Source organism: Homo sapiens, chromosome 1 (assembly GCF_000001405.40).
Source record: "Homo sapiens chromosome 1, GRCh38.p14 Primary Assembly".
NCBI classification, from domain to species: domain Eukaryota; kingdom Metazoa; phylum Chordata; class Mammalia; order Primates; family Hominidae; genus Homo; species Homo sapiens.
The window spans coordinates 23,778,301-23,801,884 of NC_000001.11; the positions used below are offsets into that span (position 1 = coordinate 23,778,301).

The 23,584-nt window shown below is 52.6% G+C and overlaps 3 protein-coding genes and 1 long non-coding RNA gene across 8 annotated transcripts, besides 7 other annotated features; 2 read left to right on the top strand and 2 right to left on the bottom strand.

Annotated features, from left to right (window-relative positions):
* Positions 48–357: a silencer, noted in NCBI's record as "silent region_421". NCBI's record gives its function as "represses an Ori minimal core promoter by ATAC-STARR-seq in GM12878 lymphoblastoid cells {active_cell/tissue: GM12878}" and the evidence as "EXISTENCE:reporter gene assay evidence [ECO:0000049][PMID:35858748]".
* Positions 118–9,932, top strand: PITHD1 (PITH domain containing 1). Of its 2 annotated transcripts, NM_020362.5 has the most exons (6): positions 118–413; positions 1,138–1,181; positions 1,564–1,641; positions 7,375–7,479; positions 8,015–8,123; positions 8,975–9,932. In NM_020362.5, the coding sequence occupies exons 1-6, from the start codon at positions 216–218 to the stop codon at positions 9,074–9,076; spliced, it is 636 nt and encodes a 211-aa protein (NP_065095.2). In that variant the 5' UTR covers positions 118–215; the 3' UTR covers positions 9,077–9,932. The 2 variants fall into 2 exon arrangements, with proteins under 2 accessions (NP_065095.2, XP_011540106.1); XM_011541804.2 differs by lacking the exon at positions 1,138–1,181.
* Positions 448–497: a silencer, noted in NCBI's record as "silent region_422". NCBI's record gives its function as "represses an Ori minimal core promoter by ATAC-STARR-seq in GM12878 lymphoblastoid cells {active_cell/tissue: GM12878}" and the evidence as "EXISTENCE:reporter gene assay evidence [ECO:0000049][PMID:35858748]".
* Positions 1,048–2,247: an enhancer, noted in NCBI's record as "MED14-independent group 3 enhancer chr1:24105838-24107037 (GRCh37/hg19 assembly coordinates)". NCBI's record gives its function as "activates an origin of replication core promoter dependent on BRD2, BRD4, P300/CBP and CDK7 cofactors, and independent of MED14, by STARR-seq in HCT116 cells {active_cell/tissue: HCT116}" and the evidence as "EXISTENCE:reporter gene assay evidence [ECO:0000049][PMID:35650434]".
* Positions 9,933–12,313: 2,381 nt separating the features above from the next.
* LOC105376860 (uncharacterized) lies at positions 12,314–15,232 on the bottom strand. Its single transcript, XR_947067.3, has 2 exons — positions 15,172–15,232; positions 12,314–12,490 (listed from the first exon to the last, which is right to left on the bottom strand). It is a non-coding gene; the product is annotated as an uncharacterized LOC105376860 (long non-coding RNA).
* LYPLA2 (lysophospholipase 2) lies at positions 12,845–17,239 on the top strand. Of its 2 annotated transcripts, none has more exons than XM_005245728.6 (10): positions 12,845–12,950; positions 14,252–14,460; positions 14,708–14,739; positions 14,851–14,916; positions 15,405–15,452; positions 15,560–15,630; positions 15,763–15,836; positions 15,924–16,025; positions 16,127–16,300; positions 16,382–17,239. In XM_005245728.6, exons 2-10 carry the CDS (start codon positions 14,347–14,349, stop codon positions 16,430–16,432), a joined length of 732 nt encoding a protein of 243 aa, XP_005245785.1. In that variant the 5' UTR covers positions 12,845–12,950; positions 14,252–14,346; the 3' UTR covers positions 16,433–17,239. The 2 variants fall into 2 exon arrangements, with proteins under 2 accessions (XP_005245785.1, NP_009191.1); NM_007260.3 differs by having other exon boundaries at positions 14,357–14,460.
* Positions 13,023–13,082: a silencer, noted in NCBI's record as "silent region_423". NCBI's record gives its function as "represses an Ori minimal core promoter by ATAC-STARR-seq in GM12878 lymphoblastoid cells {active_cell/tissue: GM12878}" and the evidence as "EXISTENCE:reporter gene assay evidence [ECO:0000049][PMID:35858748]".
* GALE (UDP-galactose-4-epimerase) lies at positions 17,299–22,454 on the bottom strand. Of its 3 annotated transcripts, none has more exons than NM_001008216.2 (12): positions 22,412–22,454; positions 21,066–21,136; positions 20,587–20,712; positions 20,315–20,430; positions 19,817–19,930; positions 19,395–19,571; positions 18,734–18,847; positions 18,576–18,642; positions 18,397–18,482; positions 18,209–18,286; positions 17,851–17,965; positions 17,299–17,707 (listed from the first exon to the last, which is right to left on the bottom strand). In NM_001008216.2, the coding sequence occupies exons 3-12, from the start codon at positions 20,705–20,707 to the stop codon at positions 17,649–17,651; spliced, it is 1,047 nt and encodes a 348-aa protein (NP_001008217.1). In that variant the 5' UTR covers positions 20,708–20,712; positions 21,066–21,136; positions 22,412–22,454; the 3' UTR covers positions 17,299–17,648. The 3 variants fall into 3 exon arrangements, with proteins under 3 accessions (NP_001008217.1, NP_000394.2, NP_001121093.1); NM_000403.4 differs by lacking the exon at positions 22,412–22,454 and adding an exon at positions 22,087–22,278; NM_001127621.2 differs by lacking the exon at positions 22,412–22,454 and having other exon boundaries at positions 21,066–21,247.
* Positions 21,865–21,964: a silencer, noted in NCBI's record as "silent region_424". NCBI's record gives its function as "represses an Ori minimal core promoter by ATAC-STARR-seq in GM12878 lymphoblastoid cells {active_cell/tissue: GM12878}" and the evidence as "EXISTENCE:reporter gene assay evidence [ECO:0000049][PMID:35858748]".
* Positions 22,015–22,494: a silencer, noted in NCBI's record as "silent region_425". NCBI's record gives its function as "represses an Ori minimal core promoter by ATAC-STARR-seq in GM12878 lymphoblastoid cells {active_cell/tissue: GM12878}" and the evidence as "EXISTENCE:reporter gene assay evidence [ECO:0000049][PMID:35858748]".
* Positions 22,655–22,864: a silencer, noted in NCBI's record as "silent region_426". NCBI's record gives its function as "represses an Ori minimal core promoter by ATAC-STARR-seq in GM12878 lymphoblastoid cells {active_cell/tissue: GM12878}" and the evidence as "EXISTENCE:reporter gene assay evidence [ECO:0000049][PMID:35858748]".

Genomic DNA, 23,584 nt, shown 5'->3' on the forward strand with positions numbered 1-23,584 from the left:
AGGCGCGCGTCCTACGTCAGTTCCGCTCGACCCCACCCCCCCCGCCCCCCCGCCTTCTCCCCACGCGCATGCGCCGCGCAGCGGCGCTTTTTACGACGCGGCAGGCGCGGCGCGCTTAGTTGCCGGAGCTGAACGGCGCGGAGCTGGTCTGAGGCGAGCCGAGCCGAGCGAGCGCGGCGGTGGGGCCGAGAGGACGCGCAGGTGGCGGCGTTGCCATGTCGCACGGTCACAGCCACGGCGGGGGTGGCTGCCGCTGCGCCGCCGAACGGGAGGAGCCGCCCGAGCAGCGCGGCCTGGCCTACGGCCTGTACCTGCGCATCGACCTGGAGCGGCTGCAATGCCTTAACGAGAGCCGCGAGGGCAGCGGCCGCGGCGTCTTCAAGCCGTGGGAGGAGCGGACCGACCGCTCCAAGGTGGGCCGCCTGGGGCTTGGGGCGGGCGGGGCAGGGTGCGTGTGGGGCCTCGGGCCGTCGGTCTACTCATTTCTGATGTTAAGAATAACGACAGCCTGGTTGCCAAGCGCTTTTCCGTGCCTGTCTCCTGCCAGCTCTTTGGGAGGCGAGCAGCGTTGTCTCCCCATTTTGCATATAGGGAAACTGAGGCCTAGAGGGAACGGGGACAGTTTTGTCAAGCTACACAGCCTAACGCTCTATTCCAGGGCTGTGTGGGCTAGAGAGGATGGTCGTGAGGGCCGTTGGACCATTGGTGCTAATGGCTGCCTCATCATATTACCTGGTGAAGATGAGCCTAGGGAGATGAAAGGTGGTTCCCATATAGAGCAAATGTTCTTTACATTGTGGGGTCGCAGGCCCCTTTGCTATCTGTTTGAAAGCAGTGGACCTTCTTCTCAGAAAAATGCACATAAACACCTGCCTTTCAGTTCACACTTCAGAAGGCTCTTCGACCCTGGAAATTCATTCATGGGCTTTTTGTTAAGAACCTTCCAGTTGGGTGGCCTGTGGCTGTTATGACACTGGATAAGACTGGTTAGCTTCAAGTTAATAAGTCTTGGAAAACCAAGGGAGAGTGACTCTTCCCATTGCACCCCAGTTGTAGAGCAGGGTGGGAGATGCCTGAAATTGTAGGCTCTCAGCAAATATTTGTTGCTTTCTCCTCCCCCCTCCCCATCCCCTCCAGTTTGTTGAAAGTGATGCAGATGAAGAGCTTCTGTTTAATATTCCGTAAGTATCTCCTTGGTGCCTACCTCAGGCTAAATAGGCTGTACCCAGTTGCCTCAGATGGATTCATTCACTGGTGTCAAGAGCACACATTTGCTTCTAGAAATGGGATAAATTACTTTGGTGGGTTTGAGGAGGAAAGCATCATAGCTTTCTTGGTGCAGACTGGAAACAGATGTATTTGTAGAACAATAACTGAGAAATTGAGGTAGATTTCTTAGAATTGTAGAATGCTAGAGGTAGACAGGATCTTAGAAATTATCTAGTACAAGTTGACAGATGAGTAAACTGAAGCCCATACAGGGGAAGGGTCTTGCCCAGGGTCACACAACTAAACAGGTATTCAAACTCAGGTTTGACAACCTTCTCTTTTGCATTCTGGCAGATTTACGGGCAATGTCAAGCTCAAAGGCATCATTATAATGGGAGAGGATGATGACTCACACCCCTCTGAGATGAGACTGTAAGTGGCAAAGGCTTAGGCCCTCAAAGGAGCTCCTAATTCTCTTTTTCTGGTAACATTTTATTCCAGAATAGTATCATTTTCTTCTTACCGGGTTTAATATTTCCCCTTTTAAAATATCTTGGTCCTGTTCTCATTCTGCATTGGAATACATATATTTCTTCCTGAATTAATGACTTTTTTAGATTAAGCATCTTTAGGCCCAACAGCGTGTCTCATATTTCAAAGTGCTTACTATGACATGATTCATTCAGAGAGCATTGTGTAAATGTCACTTGTTGATGACTCTGCAGTTTTCTTAATAACTAGCTGCAGATCTCATATGATCTTTATGGATTCTAGGGGTTAGCTTCAACATTTTTCCTTGCTATTTCATACAGTAATGATCTTATGTGTTTTGTTGACATGGAATTGCTCCACCTGACTTTGCGTGGCATTTAGTTAGCAAAGTTGTGTATACCTCTTGCAACACTGAATCTTTTGCCACCAGAGCTAGTACCCTTTTTGACAACTTACCTTATTCCAGAACAGCCTTCCTAAAAGAAGGGGAAAACTGCTTTCTGAGTGCTGGAGAAACATATAAGAAGAACTTTACATTTAAAAAATTCAGTCCGGGTGCAGTAGCTTATCTCACAAAACCAATAAAAGATGATATATAGGCTGGGCACAGTGGCTTACACTTGTAATCCCAGCACTTTGGGAGGCTGAGGCGGGCGGATCACCTGAGGTTCGAGACCAGCCTGGCCAACCTGGTAAAACCCCGTCTCTACTAAAAAAACAAAAATTAGCTGGGCCTGGTGGTGCGTGCCTGTAATCCCAGCTACTAGGGAGGGTGAGGCAGGAGAATTGCTTGAACCTGGGAGGCGGAGGTTGCAGCGAGCCGAGATCTCGCCACTGCACTCCAGCCTGGATGACAGAATGAGACCCCATCTCAAAAGTAATAATAAAAACAAATAAATAAAAAATTCAAATCCTAAAGGCCGAGCATGGTGGTTCACACCTGTAATCCCAGCACTTTGGGATGCCGAGACTGGTTAGGAGTTCAAGACCAGCCTGACCAAGATGCTGAAACCCCGTCTCTACTAAAAATACAAAAATTAGCCGGGCATGGTGGCACACGCCTGTAATCCCAGCTACTTGGGAGGCTGAGGCAGGAGAATCGCTTGAACCCAGGTGGCAGAGGTTGCAGTGAGCCAGGATCGTGCCACTGCACTCCAGTCTGGGTGACAGAGCAAGACTCCATCTCAAAAGAAAAAAATAATTCAAATCCCAGCACTTTGGGAGGCCGAGGCGGGCGGATCACTTGAGGCCAGGAGTTCAAGATCATCCTGGTCAACATGGCGAAACCCTGTCTCTACTAAAAATACAAAAATTAGCTGGGTGCGGTGGCACAGGCCTGTAATCCTAGCTACTGGAGAAGCTGAAGCATGAGAATCACTTGAACCGCGGAGGTGCAGGTTGCAGTGAGCCAAGATTGCACCACTGCATTCCAGCCTGGGCAACAGAGTGAGACTCTGTCTCAAAAAAAAAAAAAAAAATTCATCTGAAAAATTGATTAAAGGACTTCCAGAGATTTAAGATATATTATAGTTGAGTATTAGAAACATGAATTTGAAAGCAAATCCATGTATTTAATCATTTTAAGGAAATAATACCTTTGATGCTTTTGGAGACTCATTTACTTGGAAGTTGATGGACTGACCTGAGAATATTAGGCATCCATGCTGCATTGTGATTTAGAGTGTGGGATCTGGAGTAAACTGGGTTCAAATAATGGCTGTACCACTTGTTAGCTTCATGACTTTGAGACCTTATCTTCTCTATGCCTGGATTTTCTATATCTAACATGGGAATGGTAACAGTGCATACATACCTCATAAGATTGTGGAGAGGCTTAAATGAGATAAAACATGTAAAGAGCTTAGATTAGGTCTGGAACACAGTAAGTGTCCAATTTTGGGTGAACAGATACGAATACATAGCCCTCAGTTCTAAGCACACTACATATATTATACTTTATCAAATGTAAGATGTCATTGATTGTAAAATGTACCATTATATTCAATTAATACAGAAAAAATGCTATTGAACTATGACATGTCATTGACACATCCAGAAAAATTAGATTGAGAGTATTAAATCAGGGAAGTTTGAACACAGATGAGGTGTTACATGTTACTAAAGAATTACCATTCAGCCAGGCGCAGTGGCTTACACCTATAATCCCAGCACTTTGGGAAGCCGAGGCAGGCGGATTACCTGAGGTCAGGAGTTCAAGACCAGCCTGGCCAACATGGTGAAACCCTGTCTCTACTAAAAACACAAGAATTAGCCAGTCATGGTGGCAGTCGCCTGTCATCCCAGCTATTCGGGAGGCTGAGGCAGGAGAATCACTTGAACCCGGGAGGCGGAGGTTGCAGTGAGCCAAGATTACTCCACTGCACTCCAACATGTGTGACAGTGCAAGACTCTGTCTCAAAAGAAAAAAAAAAAAGAATTACCACTGGGCTGGGCACAGTGGCTCATGCCTCAATCCCAGCACTTTGGGGAGGCCGAGGCGAAAGGATCACTTGAGCCTAGGAATTAAAGGTTATGGTGAATTAAGATCGTAAGATCATATACTGGACCCCAGCCTGGGCAACAGAGCAAGGCTTAAAAAAAAATTATTTATATAGTTTGAGATAGGGCCTTACTTTGTCACCTAGGCTGGAGTGCAGTAGTGTGATCATAGCTCACTGCAGCCTCGACCTCCTCAGTTCAAGCAATCCTCCCACCGCAGCCTCCCAAGCAGCTGGGAATACAGACGTGTGCCACCACGCCCAGCTAATTTATGTATTTTTTTGCAGAGATGGGGTTTTGTTATGTTGCCCAGGCTGGTCTTGAACTCCTGGGATCAAGCAGGCTGCCCACCTCAGCCTCCCAGTGTGCTGAGATTACAGGAGCTAGCCACTGCACCCAGCCAAAAAAAAATTTAAAAAAGTGAATTGCTGTTAATTTTGTTATCTGTTGATATTGTCAATTATTGTAAAATGGTATTAAATATATGTATTTTATTTTATTTTATTTTATTTTTGAGACAGAGTCTCACTGTGTCGCCCAGGCTGGAGTGCAGTGGCGCGATCTCGGCTCACTGCAAGCTCCGCCTCCTGGGTTCACGCCATTCTCCCATCTCAGCCTCCTGAGTAGCGGGGACTACAGGTGCCCGCCACCATGTCTGGCTAATTTTTTGTATTTTTTAGTAGAGATAGAGTTTCACTGTGTTAGCAAGGATGGTCTCGATCTCCTGACCTTGTGATCCACCCACCTCAGCCTCCCGAAGTGCTGGGATCACAGGCACATGTGTGTATATATATATGTATATCTACATATATACGCATATATATATACACATATATGTGTATATATACATATATACGCATATATATATACACATATATGTGTATATATACATATATACGCATATATACACATATATATGCGTATATATACGTGTGTGTGTGTGTGTGTGTGTGTATTTTTTGTTTTTTTAAGACGGCGTTCTGCTCTGTTGCCTAGGCTTGAGTGCAGTGGCCCAATCTTGGCTCACTGCAACCTCCGCCTCCTGGGGTCAAGCGATTCTCTTGCTTCAGCCTCCTGAGTAGCTGGGATTACAGGTACACACCACCAGGCCTGGCTAATTTTTTTTTTATTTTTAGTAGAGACAGGGTTTCGCCATGTTGACCAGGCAGCTCTCGAACTCCTGACCTCAAGTGATCCGCCTGCCTCCGCCTCCCAAAGTGCTGGGATTACAGGCGTGAGCCACCACGCCTGGCCCATACTGGAATATTTATAGGTGAAATGATGTGTCTGGGATTGCTTTAAAATATTGAGCTTAAGCAAAATCAGGCTGATAGGCAAGATCAACAAAATGTTGATCATCGAAGATGAGTGAAAAGTATGTGGAGATTCATTATGTAATCTCTGCTTTTGTGTAAGTTTGAACTTTTCCATAGTAAAGTTTTTTCAATATATGCGTTACTTAGAATCGATTCAATTTCATCTCCATACCAACCGTGTGGAATATGTACTATTACCATTCCCATTTTACAGATGAGGAAACAGAGGTTAAATCAGGTGCCCAAATTTACTCAGCTGGTAAGTGACAGAGCCAGGCTTGAATCCTAGAAAGTCTAGCTCTAGATTTTAACTACAGCGCTATACTGCTTCTCATTATGCCGCTCATAAATGTTTACTATTATTATTATTCTGTGGTGCATCATTCTTAGAAACACTTTGAAGTAAACATTTGCTTTCTTTTTTTTTTTTTTTTTTTTTTTTGAGACGGAGTCTCGCTCTGTTGCCCAGGCTGGAGTGCAGTGGCGCCATCTCGGCTCACTCCAAGTTCCGCTTCCCAGGTTCATGCCATTCTCCTGCCTCAGCCTCCCAAGTAGCTGGGACTACAGGCGCCTGCCACCACGCCCGGCTAATTTTTTGTATTTTTAGTAGAGACGGGGTTTCACCGTGTTAGCCAGGATGGTCTCCATCTCCTGACCTCATGATCTGCCCGCCTCGGCCTCCCAAAGTGCTGGGATTACAGGTGTGAGCCACTGCGCCCGGCGGCTTTCTTAAATTACATGCATTTTGCCCCAGCTAATATCGAGGCCTCTTCTGTGTGGGTGTGTCAATAAAACACCCTGGAATTGGTGGGGACATGTGGCTTAGTCTTTGGGAATTTGTGGGTTATAGAGACAGCTGCTTTTTAGATTACTCTTTGAAAAACATTTTCTTCTCTAGCAGTTTACTTTTTATTTATTCTGAGACAGAGTCTCTCTGTCACCCAGGCTGGAGTACAGTGGCGTGATCTTGGCTCATTGCACCCTCTCTAGCGGTTTGGATGTGAGATTGCAGTCTTTTGTGATCTTTCAAAATGGAAATCCTCATGTTATAAATGTTTTAAGAACTGTAAGGTGACTGAGTGTATGGCGTGGTTTTTGGACACAAAAAAATGCTTGAGCATTGGGTTACCTGATCTTTTATCTCTTAACTGTGTGTAATATGTTTCTGCCAAAGTATGTATTTTTCCCATGAGTAAGCTGTTTTATTTAATAACATCCTCAGTTTGGTCTGAATGTGCTGAGTTGTTTATTTTCTCCATGCATTTGCTGCATGTGACCTAGTTTGAGCCGTCTCTTTGTGTATTGCTTCTCATGTGATATTAACCCACTCAAAGATGCCATGGGGTTATGTTGCAGATCTCAGCTCTTTTTTTGTTGGATTAAAGATATTTGTAGGCTAGACGCGGTGGCTCATGCCTGTAATTCCAGCACTTTCGGAGACCGACGTAGGCGGATCACCTGAGGTTGGGAGTTAGAGACCAGCATTGCCAACATGGTGAAACCCTGTCTTTACTAAAAGTACCAAAATTTGCCGGGCATGGTGGCGTACGCCTGTAGTCCCAGCTACTCAGGAGGCTGAGGCATGAGAGTCACTTGAACCTGGGAGGTGGAGGTTGCAGTGAGCTGAGATTGTACCATTGCACTCCAGCCTGGGTGACACAGTGAGACTCTGTCTCAAAAAAAAAAAAAAAAAAGATATTTGGAGATACTTGTATAAAATGTCATTTCTAAAATATGACCCCCAAATTCAGTCTCCTATTGATAGAACCAAAGCCATTTAAGCAGTCAGTAGAAAATTTTGAAAACCTGAAACGTGATAATGCACATTTCTTGACTTTTCTTTCCTTTCCTTTCTCAGGTACAAGAATATTCCACAGATGTCCTTTGATGATACAGAAAGGGAGCCAGATCAGACCTTTAGTCTGAACCGGGATCTTACAGGAGAATTAGAGTATGCTACAAAGTAAGCACTGGGCCTGTCTTCCATTCTCTATGGCTTCTTATAGGGCTTGCCATTTATTTTTGGCCAGTCTCCTGCTCTCTTAGCATTGGAAATGAGTTAAAACAGTGGAGGAGACTTGATCTTTGGCTTGGTCAGTTTTTGGCAGAGATTCAGTGCAAGCCACAGACTTGTTAACTTGCAAGCAATTGGCAGATCTGAATGAACTCCTAGGGTGGTTTTAGGAAAGATGTGTCTCCCATTAGTTTAGGTTAACACTAAATGTGCTTTAGAATCCCTGCTGGGTTATGCAGCATTTCTCATTCCTGTTCCTTGAGGGCAGGAGCAGTGTTTATCCCTACTGCCTTGGACAGGATCTGGCAGGTGCTCAGTAAATGGTCATTGAATTAATTGCCTGTCCAAAGGAGAAGGAAGAACTCAGGAGCTCTGACTTTGCCTGGCTTTTACAAGCTGGAGCTGAATTGTTGTTTCACATGGTGGTGAGATACTCATTGAACTATAATTCATACCTTCTTTCCCTATTCCTGTCATCCTCTAGAATTTCTCGTTTTTCAAATGTCTATCATCTCTCAATTCATATTTCAAAAAACTTCGGAGCAGATACGACAAAGGTCTTTTATATTGGCCTGAGAGGAGAGTGGACTGAGGTAAGATGGGGTTGGAAAGGTTTTCCCCTCATGTCTACATATCTGCACACTGTGGTGATGGGAGCTTCCAGGGAAGGGAAAAGAGCAAGTGTCATAATTACTCCCAGTTTATTATTTTTCTTGGTTTTATCAGTATAAACTTTTCGTCTCATTTGAGAAACTACAGGTATTTTTAAGGGGGTTGAAACTGTTATTTTTATATAAATAATATATATAATATATATATATATATCTCAGCTCACTGCGACCTCCGCCTCCCAGGTTCAAGTGATTCTCCTGCCTCAGCCCCCCAAGTAGCTGGGATTACAGGTGCCCACTCCCACGCCTGGCTAATTTTTTTGTATTTTTAGTAGAGACAGGGTTTCACCATGTTGGCCAGGCTGGTCTCGAACTCCTGACCTCAGGTGATCTGCCCATCTCAGCCTCCCAAAATGTTGGGATTACAGGTGTGAGCCACCTTGCCCAGCCTGAAATTGTCATTTATATTAATTCACAGTTTTCTACTTTCAAATGCTTTCATTGAGTATTTTTGATAATCTTTTCTATTCATGAACCAGGGATAAGATAATACCATAGACAAGTTCCTATTCTCATGGTACCCCCATTATAGTAGGGAGACTGAATCTTCAAAGTTACAGGGTGAATCAATGATAATGATCTTTGCAGCTTTCTGGAGTTAAAAAGTATCAAAATTGGGAGATATTAGATGATGACATCTAAGTATTAAAATAAGGAGATATTAAATGATGACTCCTAGAAATGAACCTGAATAAGGACTACCGCAATGTGTGTGGTGTGGGAAAGGACAGTTCTTTTAATGGCTGGCTGACCCAGCCTCAATTTTCTTGCAGCTTCGCCGACACGAGGTGACCATCTGCAATTACGAAGCATCTGCCAACCCAGCAGACCATAGGGTCCATCAGGTTACCCCACAGACACACTTTATTTCCTAAGGGCTGGCCAAGGCTCCCATAGAGGCGCTGTGTCAGTGAAGATGTACGACTACCTGTTGGGAAGGACAAAGGGATGAGGCTCCAGAGAGAGTTGGCTGCCACAGCCTCTGCCAAGCTTTGTCTTTGGGGCTTGCTGCAGAAACCTGGCCTACGGAAGATACGACACCACTGGGAGGGTTGTGTAGGTGCCAGGGGACCATCGTGGTTCTCTAGGGCGCTGTGGAAATTGGGTCTTGGGCTGGGTGGCATCTGGCAGTCATGGGTAACACTTGCTTTTCCAGTTAATGTGGCCATGTGATTCCAAGTGTCATGTTGCTTTGTGGCAAGATTGTTGTGTGACTTGTTTTTTTGTTTTTGTTTTTGTTTTTTTAAAGGAAACTATTTGTGGGCTATAGGAAACTTTCTGATGCCTCCGGATTGTGTTAGTAGTAGCCATCAGGAGGGTCTCCAACTAAAACACTTGTTCCTGCTTGCTCCTTTCCCCTCTCATTGTTCAGCATTCTTGTCAAGTTGCCCAGCTTGGAGTTGTCTGTCACGCACATGTGTCCTGTGGTTATAGCTAGAAGGACAGGAGTCTCCTGCTGATGCGTGATAGCTTAAGCTTGGGGAGAAGGTCTTTTCCACTGCCTAGCTAAGCAGTCTGGGGAGAGCATGGGGATCATTTCTATGTGTGTGGGTAATCTGGTCAGTAAGATTGAGACTTAGTTAAGATTCCCCTTGGAAATTCCTTAATGTTTATTAGCTTCTAACTAGTGTTGTAAGTCCGATGCCAGAATTTGGAGATTTGAGTTCTTCTTTTCATGGCTTTTATTCACTGTGACTAATAAGCTTCCTAATAAATCCTTGCCAGACTTAATGTTTGTATTTTCTTTTGAGTTCTTGATAGCCACTGATGCAACTTTCATTTCATGGGGAACTGTACTGAACTTTGAAATTTTTTGTTGTTGTTTTGGACTAGGTAGATTATAGGAAGTGCCACAATTAAATCAAGACTGGAGCCGGGCGCGGTGGCTCACGCCTGTAATCCCAGCACTTTGGGAGGCCGAGGTGGGCGGATCACGAGGTCAGGAGATCGAGACCACGGTGAAACCGTCTCTACCAAAAATACAAAAAATTAGCCGGGTGCGGTGGCGGGAGCCTGTAGTCCCAGCTACTCAGGAGGCTGAGGCAGGAGAATGGCATGAACCCGGGAAGCGGAGCTTGCAGTGACCTGAGATTGCACCACTGCACTCCAGCCTGGGTGACAGAGTGAGACTCCGTCTCAAAAAAAAAAAAAAAAAAAATCAAGACTGGATCAGTTTCTCCAGGAATGGTCAAGCTTAATTTTGTACAGTAGGCCAAAAACACTCCTACACCCATATATAGTAAAGAAGAAGGTGGGGTTGAAAACCTGTATTTCACAGAAATTAACTGGGCATGGTGGCGTGCACCTGTAGTCCCAGCCACTTGGGAGGCTGAGGTGGGAGGATCACTGGAGCCCAGGAGGTCGAGGCTACAGTAAGCCATGATTGCGCCACTGCACCCCAGCCTGAGGCAACAGAGTGAGACCTTGTCTCAAAACAACAACAACAAAACCCTATATTTCATTTTGCACAAAAGGAAGTGATTTGTAGAATGACATTTACAAAAATAAGGGAGAACAGATTTTGGAGCTCATCAGAAGAAATGAGGGTGAGGAAAGTAATTGAGCAGCTCATGTGGTCTCCAGGTAGACCAAAGACTTTGGACTTAAATTTTGAAAGTCAGTTTAGCAATTGAAGAGAATGTAAGTATCTAAAAAGGGGATTTGATATGGTCAGTATTCTCTCCCTTGCAGAAAACAGGAACAGGTAATAAAGGGAATTAGTGTTGAATCTGATCCTTTTGGGAGAATTCCTCTGAGGCATTGGCCCATGCTGTTGTTTGGAGGATATAGCCACTGTTTCTCCAGCCTGTCCTAGGAAAGGTCTGCTACCACCAAACCTTGTTGGCCCTCAAAATTTCTAAAATGCAGCCTGAAATAAACCAGAATGCAAATGCTGTTCTTGAAAAGCATGAAGGGTCCTATTCACTCAGCCACAGCCTCTTTATTTCAGTTGGATCATTTTTTGGAGTTAAAAGAAGGGCTATGTTTAAATTTGGAGTAGGGGGAAAAATAAAGTTAAAAATCTTAGAGCAGACTAGCCCTTCACTAATTCCACTAATTAAAGCATTAATCACAGCTCCTGGGACTGAGCCTCTGAATTTGAAGCTTCACTCTGAAGAATTTGTTTTAAGTGTCATGGTGTCTCAGGTGATCGAGGTTGCAGGAGGAACTGTTCATTCTTCCATAAGTGGGGACATTACCCTCCATTTTCTTTTGACATTCAGTCCTGGGTCCTTGGCTTGTGGTGGTCCCATAGGCTCAAAGGTTTCCTGCCCCGAATCCTGGTATTGTAGGCTCCCTGACCTGTTGAGTACTTAGGACCAAAGTGCCTCTGGGCCTGGGGGAAAGTGCTTTGTTGAGCTTCCAACTTTGTACTGTTTTCTTTTTCTTTTCTTTCTTTTTTTTTTTTTTTTTTTTTTGAGACAGAGTCTCGCTTTGTTGCCCAGGCTGGAGTGTAGTGGCACTATCTTGGCTCACTGCAAGCTCCGCCTCCCGGGTTCACGCCATTCTCCTGCCTCAGCCTCCCCCCGAGTAGCTAGGACTACAGGCGCCCGCCACAGCGCCAGGCTAATTTTTTGTATTTTTAGTAGAGACAGGGTTTCACCGTGTTAGCCAGGATGGTCTCGATCTCCTGACCTCGTGATCCGCCCGCCTCAGCCTCCCAAAGTGCTGGGATTACAGGAGTGAGCCACCGCGCCTGGCTGTACTGTTTTCTTTCTGTTCAAAGAAAACACTAGTATAGGTTAGGCTGGGAGAGTGAGTCCTAAGCGGCTGAGGGTCAAGTGTGACTCATTTCCTATTTGCAGATCCCCACACATTCTCAGGGACATGCTCCTTCAACTCAGTTTGCCTGCCTTCTGACTTTTCTGTGGTCCCTGATACCTATTTCCACTTCAGCTTGATGGCAGCGTTTTGTGCACTGTCTGCATGACATTGCTTGTGAAGGGCAGCGCTAACACTGCCAGTGCCTGTCCAGCTCTCCTGATACGGCCTTTGTATTTTTCCTAGGTCCTTTTTTGCGTGATTAACACCTCACGCTGTGATTTTACTGTATAAACCATGTTCACACAACCTCATTTAAGCCTACCAACAAAGCTGTGAAGGAGGCAGGGTGGTTATTACCATTTTATATATCAGGAAGCAGATCCAGAGAGGCAGAATTTAAATGGAATCCCGAGGTTGCTGTTTACATGCCTTCCTTGAGCCTCAGTTTCCCCATCTTCAAGGCTGGAGAACTAGATGATCTGTAAGGTCTCTTCGGTTCAGAGTGTGTCATTCCATTCATGATCCTGGAATAGGGCATGAAAGCCAGTGGCAGACACCCGAGGCCTTAAGAGGTGTGTCCCATGAGGATGGGAAGGTGGTAAAGTTTATGCAAACAATAGTGTGAGGGATGCCTCTCCTTCCGGTCGGCCCTCCTCCAGGAGGCGCATGGGTGGTGGTAGCAAGTGGGAGTCTTGGGTGCCCTGTCTCGAATCTACAAGGTGGGAGCGGGTGAGAACCCAGCGACTGCGCGGCTGAATGACAGGGAGTAGCCCCGCCGCCTCCAACATGGCAGCTTCTATCCAGCGAAGCCGGGTCCCCGCTTCCGGGTTCCGTACTGTCGGCCAGGCTACTTCCGGCAGCGCGATGGCTGGGTTCCCGGGACTCGAACGGAAGTTCCGGCGGGGGCGGCCGAGGGGGAAGAGTGTGTCTGCGGGAGAAAGAGGAGAATCGCCCAAGCGGCCTCGGAAGTCCCAGGGAGTGGAGGTACCCAGCCGGCGGCTGCGGAGGATGGGCGTGTAGGGGGAGGTCGGCCTCGGGAGGGTCCCGGAGAGCGGGGAGGGGGAACCGTGATGGGGGGGATGGGGGTGGGGAGTGAGGTGCGAAGGCGCTGTCCAGTCTTGGGGACTTCGGGAGTGGAGCGGGGCTAGGCAAGGGGGTGTCTGAGTATAAAGAGACAGACTTCAGGGTCGGAAATAGAAGAGCCCATTGTGGGGCGGGGGCTTCCCCAGAGTCAAAGGTACAAAGCTTTATTGTGGGCAGGTGGGAGTCCTGGGTCAGGGTAGAAAATTTCACTGGGTAGGGTGACCTTTGGTCAGAACAGAAGTTCCCATTGTGGGGAGCGGGAGATCCTGGGTCAGGGTGGAAGTTCTCAAGGTGTATAGAGAGAGACAGGTCAGGGGGAAGGCACCCCTCCGAGGAGGGAGCCTGGGCGGGAGGTGCAAGTCCCCACGGTGGAGAAGGAAGGGAATCGCAGCTCAGGGCAGGAGGTGCATTCCCCATGGGAAGAGGAACCCCGGGTCACAGGTGAACGATCCCATTGTGGGGAGCTGCCCTCAGGGGTCAGAGATGGAAGGTGAGGCCAGTTGGGAGGGGTGGGCAGGCACTTGAGGCAGGTAGTGGAAGCTTCCGGCGAGTTTGGAGGACGCCGAGGATGGGGAGGGGCCAGCCAGCCTGACATTCTTTTGTGTGTTTGGGAGTCCCAGAGCGTGGTCAAGCCAGGGCTCGTTTGCAGTCAGTGGCAGCAGCAGCAGGTAGCTCCGTTTAGGGGGGGCGTGGAGCACCAGTTTGGGGGTGGGTGGAGTTCTTACGCTTTCTGGGGACATGGGCAGCCCCCTGGGGGTCTGGGAATGGATGGGCCAGAAACTGCTGTGAAGGCTGGATGGGGGCTGGGTGGGGGGAGGTTGAGATGGGGGTTGGAGGCGGCACTGAGTAGGGGATGGAAGCTCCTTTCCCTGGCACTTTTCTCTCCATTTCCCATAGGGCCCGGAGTTGGGGAGGCAGGGACCCAGGGATGATTGGAGAGGAGGGGGAAGGCACTCACCCCTGAGGAGTTAGAGGGGGAATGAAGCAGGCGTGCCGCTGCCTCCCCTCTGCCCCCTGCCCTACAGTCCCTATGCCCTGCCTCTGCCTGTCTCCAGCAAGCTCAGGTCCTGTGGTTGGGCCAGAACCAGAGACACATGTTCTGGGCCACTAGGGAGGCTGTCTCTGCCTTTCAGCCCTGGAACTGAGGCAGACTTCTTCTCCTGTGCCCTGGGACTTCTTGCTTGACTATTCTTTGTGCCCAGGACAGAACCTGGGTGCTGTGTGGGGCTGATGGCCTGGTGGCCTCTTGGGCCAGGAGTGTGTCCTGTGCCTGGTTTTGCTCTTGACCGCCGCCCCGATGTATGCAGGCCCCCGCCGTGGAGCCGTGTGGTGTATGTGTGGTAACACCATGTCTGTGCCCCTGCTCACCGATGCTGCCACCGTGTCTGGAGCTGAGCGGGAAACGGCCGCGGTAAGGGTCCCCTTTCACCCACGGCCAGACACTGTGGGAGCAGCTGGAGGACCGGCTGGAGGGGGTGTGGGAAAATGGAGGTGGCAGTGATGAGCAGGGAGTATCCTGAGGCCAGCAGGCTCGGGGTAGTAACCTGTTTGGCTGCTACCTGGGTTCCCCCAGGTCCTTGGGGGTGGGGGAGGGGTGGGCAGAAGTTGGAGGACCTAGGGGAAGCCTTCCTGTCTCCCCATTTCCCATCCTTTTCCAGGTTATTTTTTTACATGGACTTGGAGACACAGGGTAAGTGACTGAGGAGGGGTGCTCCTTAAGGAGGGGTCCTGGCCCAGCAGCGGACTGGAGAGGCCTTCTCTTCCTACCACATCGGAGCCTTTTCTCCCGTCCCTCCTACAGGCACAGCTGGGCTGACGCCCTCTCCACCATCCGGCTCCCTCACGTCAAGTACATCTGTCCCCATGCGTGAGTGTCACCCCAGCAAGGGAGGGGCTGAGGCTGGGGATCATCTGGGGGTGGTCCTGTCATCCCAGGCCTGTTCTCTCCTGTCAGTTGCATCCTGGGGCTTGGGCTCAGGGCAGTCAGAAGTGGCATTTTCAGCCTGAGCTCCTGTGGAGCCCCCAGGAGTGGGGTCCAGCACCAGCCCCCAGCCCTAGGGCCTCCTAGACCTGAGCTCTCCTAGAACCCACACCTCCCTTTGCCCCTTCCCCAAGTACTCACCGACTACCTGGGACCCCGTCACACCAAGCGCTGGGCTCTGCTTCTCCATTACTGGCGCTTTGCCCCAACCACAGCCTCCAGCCCCACGTGGCAGGTTGCCTGGCAACACCTTAAACACAGGCCCTGCCTGCTGGGAGGGGCCACCAGGGGCGGCGCGGCCCCACTCCGGGCTCTGAGCTCTGGCCTCCTCATTCCTCCTGAGCATGATGGGCCCTCTGGCTCTCTTTCCCCAGGCCTAGGATCCCTGTGACCCTCAACATGAAGATGGTGATGCCCTCCTGGTGAGTTTGGGAGTGGGGGTGGGCAGGGGGACGAGGACACTTGGGCTGAGGGAGCCACAGGGGGCTGGCTGGGGTTTTCTATAGCTGCCAGTGCCTCTACTCCCAAGGTTTGACCTGATGGGGCTGAGTCCAGATGCCCCAGAGGACGAGGCTGGCATCAAGAAGGCAGCAGAGAACAGTAAGACCCCAGCCCCTCCTCCACATCCTCCTTCCCCTGCCCCCCAGGAAAGCGCTGGGCGGTTCCTCAGCCTAGCTCCCTTATTGGGCCCCTTGGCAGCTTCCCTCTACCCACTCATGCCCCCTCCCCCAGTCAAGGCCTTGATTGAGCATGAAATGAAGAACGGGATCCCTGCCAATCGAATCGTCCTGGGAGGCTTTTCACAGGTGAGGGGAGAGGGGTGGGGGGGTAGGGGGTAGGGGTGGCCGGTGAGTGAGCTGTGCCCTCATGACCCCTCTCTCTCCTCCCTCCAGGGCGGGGCCCTGTCCCTCTACACGGCCCTCACCTGCCCCCACCCTCTGGCTGGCATCGTGGCGTTGAGCTGCTGGCTGCCTCTGCACCGGGCCTTCCCCCAGGTGAATGTCCCCACTGACCCCCCCGCCCTTTGTGTCTGCATCCTCGTGGCTTGGGGACTGCTGCAGCACTAGCTTTGCCCTGAGTCCTGTCCGGCCTCCAGGCAGCTAATGGCAGTGCCAAGGACCTGGCCATACTCCAGTGCCATGGGGAGCTGGACCCCATGGTGCCCGTACGGTTTGGGGCCCTGACGGCTGAGAAGCTCCGGTCTGTTGTCACACCTGCCAGGGTCCAGTTCAAGACATACCCGGGTGTCATGCACAGCTCCTGTCCTCAGGTCAGTGGGGGGACCATTTCCCACTCCCACTTCTCTGCCTCCAGCCAGGTGCCTCTCGTGATCCCCTCTTAATCCCCTCAGGAGATGGCAGCTGTGAAGGAATTTCTTGAGAAGCTGCTGCCTCCTGTCTAACTAGTCGCTGGCCCCAGTGCAGTACCCCAGCTCATGGGGGACTCAGCAAGCAAGCGTGGCACCATCTTGGATCTGAGCCGGTCGAGCCCCTGTCCCCACCCTTCCTGACCTGTCCTTTTCCCACAGGCCTCTGGGGGCAGGTGGCAAGGCCTGGCCGGGCCTTCCTTCCTGGCCTTAGCCACCTGGCTCTGTCTGCAGCAGGGGCAGGCTGCTTTCTTATCCATTTCCCTGGAGGCGGGCCCCCCTGGCAGCAGTATTGGAGGGGCTACAGGCAGCTGGAGAAAGGGGCCCAGCCGCTGACCCACTCACTCAGGACCTCACTCACTAGCCCCGCTTTGGGCCCCCTCCTGTGACCTCAGGGTTTGGCCCATGGGGCCCCCCCAGGCCCCTGCCCCAACTGATTCTGCCCAGATAATCGTGTCTCCTGCCTCCACTCAGCTGCTTCTCAGTCATGAATGTGGCCATGGCCCCGGGGTCCCCTTGCTGCTGTGGGCTCCCTGTCCCTGGGCAGGAGTGCTGGTGAGGAGGTGGAGCCTTTTGAGGGGGGCCTTCCCTCAGCTGTTTCCCCACACTGGGGGGCTGGGCCCTGCCTCCCCGTTACCCTCCTTCCCTGCAGGCCTGGAGCCTGTAGGGCTGGACTGAGGTTCAGGTCTCCCCCCAGCTGTCTCACCCCCACTTTGTCCCCACTCTAGAGCAGGGAGGCAGTGGGGGAGGAGTTGTGTCTCGTCTTCTGTCTCCATGTGGTTTTTGGGTGTTTTTCTTGTTGTGTCCTGGATTCCGATAAAATTAAAGAAATTGCTTCCTCAACGCTCAGGCCTGGCTGATTCTATTCCAGGGGTGGATAGTGACCATCTGTGAGAACCTGCCCCAGTGTAAGAAAACTTGTTTTTATTTTTAAATACTTTGGAAAGCTCTTTCAGAGCAATATAAATGAGTGCCTGGGAGGAGGAGGTTTTGTGCCAGAGCCTTGCCCCCTCACTCACTCTTGGGGGTCCTGATGAACTCTTGGACCCTGTGGAAGATAAGAGTTAGAGACCTCGGCCTCCTGGTCAGTGGAGCCCTTGGCCTCATGCCTGGTGGGCTAAGCGGGCCCAGCTGGGGTTTGAGGTAGGGGAGGCCTTGGCTTGGCCCCAGCAGCTCCAGGGCCCTGAGTTCCTGCCAGAGGCTGGAGAGCAGGCAGCTGCTGCTTTTCCTGGTCCTTGGTAGGGGAGGGTCCTCAGGCTTGCGTGCCAAAGCCTGAAGGATTCTGCTTCTGCCAGCGCCAGAGATCCTCACCTGCAACACGGCGAGGTGTGTGCTCAGGGCCCACGGTGGAATGCAGAGCCTCCCCCACCCCACAGCCCGCCCTGGGTGGGCATGCCCAGATCTGATTTAGCCCCTCCCTGGCCCCTAACTGCAGGGGTCAGGCCAGCACTCACACATCCTGTCCAGCCCTAAGGCTGCTGTCCACCCCAGCTCCTCTTGGGCCAGGCTGGGGTTGGCGTAACAGGCTGCCACATCACCTTCCCGCCGTGCCACCACCTTGTACGGGATCTGCAAGACAGGAGGTAGTTGGAGCTTAGCTGAGCCGGCCCTGGCCCAGCTGCTGGCCAGGTCTTTAAGAAGCAGAAGTGCAGAGCAGCGGCTGGCCCGCAGGCACCGGGTGCTAGGCAGGCTGAGGAGACTGGGCAGTGCCAGGTACCCTCCAGAGAGGTGAGTGGGAAGGGCCAAAGCTGCTCTGTTGCTGAGAGCTGGGTGGGGTGAGGTGGGTGAGGTGGGTGGGGCGGGGGGGCCTACCTTCTTCCCAGAGGCCTTCTCCATAGCCTGGACCATCTGCAGCACTGAATAGCCTGTGCCCGTGCCCAGGTTGTAGATCTGGCCCACGGAGAACAGGGTTTATGGAGCGGGCTGGACTGACCACGCCTCTGGGCCGCTCTGCCTGGATCTGGTCCCTCCCCTCCCTCACTTCTCCCTTCTCTTCCTACCCGGCAGCCACACTGTTCTTTCAGCTTCCTTAAGGCTGCAATGTGGCCCTTGGCCAGATCCACGACATGGATGTAATCCCGGACACCTGCAGAGAAGGGAGTGTGTTGGATGGGGAGTCTGTTCCCCCTGACTCTCCTTCCTGGCTCCCACTCCTAGGTCCCCCTGGTCCTAGGCTCACCTGTGCCATCCTCTGTGTCATAGTCATTGCCAAAGACATTCAGGGCCTCCCGTCGCCCGATCGCCACCTGGAGGTGGAGATCAGGTCAGTTCGTCCCAGATCCCAGGCACCAGCTTTAACCCCAGGGCCACTCCTCTGTCCCTTCCCTTTTGCCTTACCTGGGAGACATAAGGCATGAGGTTGTTGGGTATGCCCTGGGGATCCTCACCAATGCAGCCAGAGGCATGGGCACCTGTGGGGTTGAAATAGCGCAGCAGCACTGCGTTCCAAGTCTGTGGGATGTGGGTCAGGTGGTGAGGCCAGAGGCACAGGCAGCGTGTCCCAGCTGAACCCAGAGCCCTCCTCATGCCTATTCTGTTTTTTTGAGATGGAGTCTCACTATGGCCCAGGCTGGAGTGTAGTGGCCTGATTTGGCTCACTTCAACCTCTGCCTTCCAGGTTCAAGCAATTCTTGTGCCTCAGCCTCCCGAATAGCTGGGACCACAGGCACACACCACCATGGCCGGCTAATGTTTGTATTTTTAGTAGAGATGGGGGTTTTACCATGTTGTCCAGGCTGGTCTTGAACTCCTGACCTCAGGTGATCTGCCCACCTGGGCCTCCCAAAGTGCTGAGATTACAGGTATGAGCCACTGCGCCCGGCCAGTTGTCTATTTATTATCTTTAGAAACAAGCAGGGGATGGGGCCCTCCACTGCAACTGCCTGAGCCTTAGCTTCCTCCTTAGTGGGGGTGTTCGGAATCCCACCCCTGGGCTCAGGGTGGGCCCTGAGGAGTCCATCGATCAGTGGAGCCAGGGCACTGTCAAGGGGGCCCTCACCTTGTCTGCCTGGCACAGGTCCCGGATCATTTCCTCGATGAAGAACTTGGACTTGCCGTAAGGGTTGGTACAACCACCCGTGGGGTGGGCCTCATCAAGGGGCAGGTACTGGGGGTTCCCGTACACAGTGGCTGAGCTGCTGAACACCAGGTTCTTCACCCCGTGGGCCTTCATGATCTGGCCGTGGAGAGATGGCATCAGTGACCTCTGCCTCACACATTACTCCCACCCTGTTACTCCTCCACAGGAGAATGGGGCTGAGGTGATGAGCACTCTCATTTACAGATGGGGAAACTGAGACTGGGAGGTAAAGACATGAGTCCAGGATGATACAGCTTGGGCTCTGTGTTTGGCACTGCCTGCCAGGCTGGGGTCCAGCTGGACACCCTCCTAGTGTCTGTGCCCTGTCCCATGCCTCTCACCTCCAGAAGCTGGATGGTCCCGGTCAGGTTAACTCTGTAATAATCCAGAGGCTTCTGCACCGACTCGCCCACGGCCTTGAGCCCCGCAAAGTGGATGACCGCCATAAAGCTGTACTGCAGGGGTGACATGGCCAGAGGTTGCTCTACTGGTTTTAGTCCTTGGCAATGCCCTCAGCCTGCCTGCCTGCACTCACCTTTTTTTTTTTTTTTGACAGTCTCGCTCTGTTGTCCAGGCTGGAGTACAGTGGTGCCATCTCAGCTCACCGCAACCTCCACCTCCCAGGCTCAAGCCATCCTCCCATGCCAGCCTCCCGAGTAGCTGGGACCACAGGTATGGGCTACCATGCCCAGCTAATTTTTGTATTTTTCTGTAGAGATGGGGTTTCACTGTGTTGAGCAGGCTGGTCTTGAACACCTGGGCTCAAGTGATCTCCTCACCTCGGCCTTCCAAAGTGCTGGAATTACAGGCGTGAGCCACCGTGCCCAGCCTGCACCCACCTTTTTGAAGAGACGCTGTAGGGCTCCCTGGTCCAAAATGTCCATCTCCTCAAACTCCACAGAGCGGCCTGTCAGCTCCTGGACCCGCCGCAGGCTCTCAGGCAGGGAGCCCCCTCCTGGTAGGGTACATGTAGGCCACATCATCACGACATGGGGTGCTGTGTTCCCAGGGACTAGCCAGACACACATTCCCCGCCCGGTGGTGGAGGTGGAACCCAGGGTTTTGCTTCTGCCATCCCCTCAAGTAGCCCCAGCCCCACTGCCCCGCTCACCACGGAAGGCATTATGGAAGTTATCGATGACCACAGGCAAGTAGCCAGCCTCCAGCAGCTCCAGCACCGTGTGGCTGCCAATGTAGCCAGCCCCACCTGTTACCAGCACCTTCTCTGCCATGGCACCTGGCCCAGGATACAGAGTCTCAGAGGTGGCTGAGGCTGCCTGCTCAGAGCTTCCTTCCCACTGGAATCCTGCCCCCTAAGCTCGCTTTGGAAGGAGGCGGCAGTGTGCCCTAGGTACCAGACTGGCTCAGAAGTCAGCCCTGGGGCAAGTCTGGGTACCATCACTTTCTGGCCTTAGGCTTTGGAAATTAATTAGCCTCTTGGCCTCAGTTTCTATCTCTGTAAAACAGAGCTAATAATTGTATAAACTTCATGAGGCAGCGTGAGGGTTCAGTGAGGTGATCTTAAGGGCCCGCCACAGCAGAGCTGGGGAGACCTGACACACAGGCACCTTATTTTCTAGTTCCACTTGCCTTGGAGTTGGAAAAGATGGAATCTGAGGATCCACACTTCTTTGTCCAAGGTGACTGAGGACTGGAGAGTCCTGGGCAGAAGGAAAATGGCAGCACGATTGGGACTCCAGGGTCGCAGGAAGGGGTTCTGTCTGCTCAGACCCAGGCTTGTCCAATGCCTCCGCCTTCGCTAGGTGTAAACTGGCTCCTGGGCGCAGTGACTAATACCTCCTGCTCTAGGCGGCCCCCACCCCCTTTCCCTCAAGGGTCAGCTGGGAGGAAGCAGGAAATAGATCACATGGCCTCAAGGGTGAGGTCCTTTGCCAGGCAGGCTGAGGCCAGCTCAGGGGCAACCACACCGTGGTTGGTCCTGGAGGGGGCCCCACCCCAACCCCCGCTCAGCCTCTGCCCATGCCAGGGCCAGCCCGGTCACTCCTGGCTCAGAGTTAGGAATCCCGCCCAACTTAGGCTACTCTGGGTGGGCCGTGTAGACGTGGACTTGGCCAGGTGCGCACCTCCACCCTGAACAAACTCTGCGGGTAGTACGGGGAGGAAGCCCCAGACACTGAGGCCTTTCATTCCCAGCGACCGGGCCCGCTGCCGCCTTCCTCCACGCTGCCTCTATCCCCTTCTGGGCTCACGCAGCTCCAACCCACTTGACCAAGAGCCCTCTGCGTGCCAGGCTCCGTACCAGGCACTTTTGCATGATTTTCCTGAATTCCCCCAGCATCTCGGTGAGACAGGTGTTATCACTGGCACTTTACAGATACAGATACTAGGGCCAGAGAGGTGAAACAGTTGCCCTTCGGTCCCACAGCTGGCGACAGCGGGCTGGAATCTGGATCGCCAGGCTCGCAGCCCGGCCCTCTCCCCAGGCGGCTCGCCCTTCCCCCACCGCTGCCCGCTGGACTCTGCCCGCCGCGCCGAAGCCGCCCCCGCCCCCGCCCCGCGCCTGGCGCGGACCCCGAAAGTGGTCGCAGAGAGGCCCTGGGAAGCACGAAAGCTGGTCTGAGGCCGGCTGCGCCCCCGACAGCGGAGTGACCTTGCTCAGCCGTCGCCCACTCGGTTTTCCCAGTCTGTCTGTTGGAGGGAAGGGGAGCTAGGCCGTGGGCATACGAGGGCGGCTGGGTCTCAGGCTGGGCTTTGGGCTGTAGCGCGGAGCGGGGCCGAGCTAGGAGTCCTCAGGCCGGCAATGAATGAACCCCGGCCGCCCCAGCCCGGGCAGCGGGGAACTGGGACAAAGGGGGCGGGCCTGCCCTGGAGGGACGCTGCCAGGAACACGACCCGCCCCTCGGAAACTCCCTCGCTCCCCGCGGACTCCCCGGCCCCTCGCGAGCCCACCCGGCCCTTCATTCCGTCTCCCGAACCTGCTCGGGTTCCCGCGCCCCACGCTTGCTGCAGAGGCACCGCCTCCTACGCCCGAGCCGCGGGCCCTTTAAGTGCTGACGGCCCACTCCGGCCCCGACCCCGCCCCTCCACGCCCCCAAGGAAACATGTCACTCGGGTTACGGCCACTACGGGGAGGGCGGGAGGACAAAAGGCCTCCGCGCTGTGACGAAGACTGCGCAGCGCGCGCCCGCGGAAGGCGGAAGTGGGCGGTGCCACCCCGCGAGAGGCGCCGCCGGCGCCAGGTCCCAGTAGCGGGTGGGTCCTTGCCGGTGCCCCGGGTCCCCGCGCTAGCTCGTCCCAACCCCTGGAAGAGGGCTGCGCTTCCGAGGGGGCAGGGGGCAGAGGGTAGGGGGCCCACGCCTCCGCCCCACTCTGACCCGCAGGTTTTCAGACTTGCCGGTGTGTGCCAAACCATGAATTCAAAATCTTGAACTACCCGATCCCACGGGACTAAGGCAGGAGGGGGTCGCAGGGGGCCTGGTGCTGGAAGTCCAGTTTGCAAATAAACCAAGGAGCTGGAGGAAGCTGTCAGGCCACACTAGCGGTTCCAGCGCTCTTGGCTCTCAGCCCCCACCTGCCGGGAAGGGTCGGTCTGCACTCTGCCTTCCACGACGGCAGGTTAGAAAATGATTGTTTGTTTACAATGAAAAGTAGTAGAGCTAGAGAATAATATGCACAAAATGTGACATCCTGCGTGATGAAACCAGAGCAAAGGAGCCCTAAATGCAGGAGCGCACAGGTGTCCGCGCAGCCGGGAATCAGCCAGCGCCTGCCCGCAGAGTCCAGGGAACCGACAGGTGAGCGCTCCCGGGCCCGGGAGCGCCAGGGAGAGGCCGGGCCACCGAGGCCCAAAGCAGCAAGTGTGTCCTCAGGGGAGCTTGTGCAATAGCCCCAGTCACAGAGGCAAAGCTCAGAAACAACCCCGTCGGGTGTTCTGGCCAGCAACTGCCGCAAGCAGCCTCCTGAGTAAGCCCAAAACCACTGATTTCCAGTCACTATGGATTTGGGGCTCAGGTGGGGAAACAGGGAGGAAATCCAAAGATTAATAAACTAGTTCATAGTCTCCATTTTCCTCTCAGAGTGCAACATGGTAAAGTATTTTACTCCCCCACGCGCATGTATACACACAGCTGCACAACCGAATGCTGGAA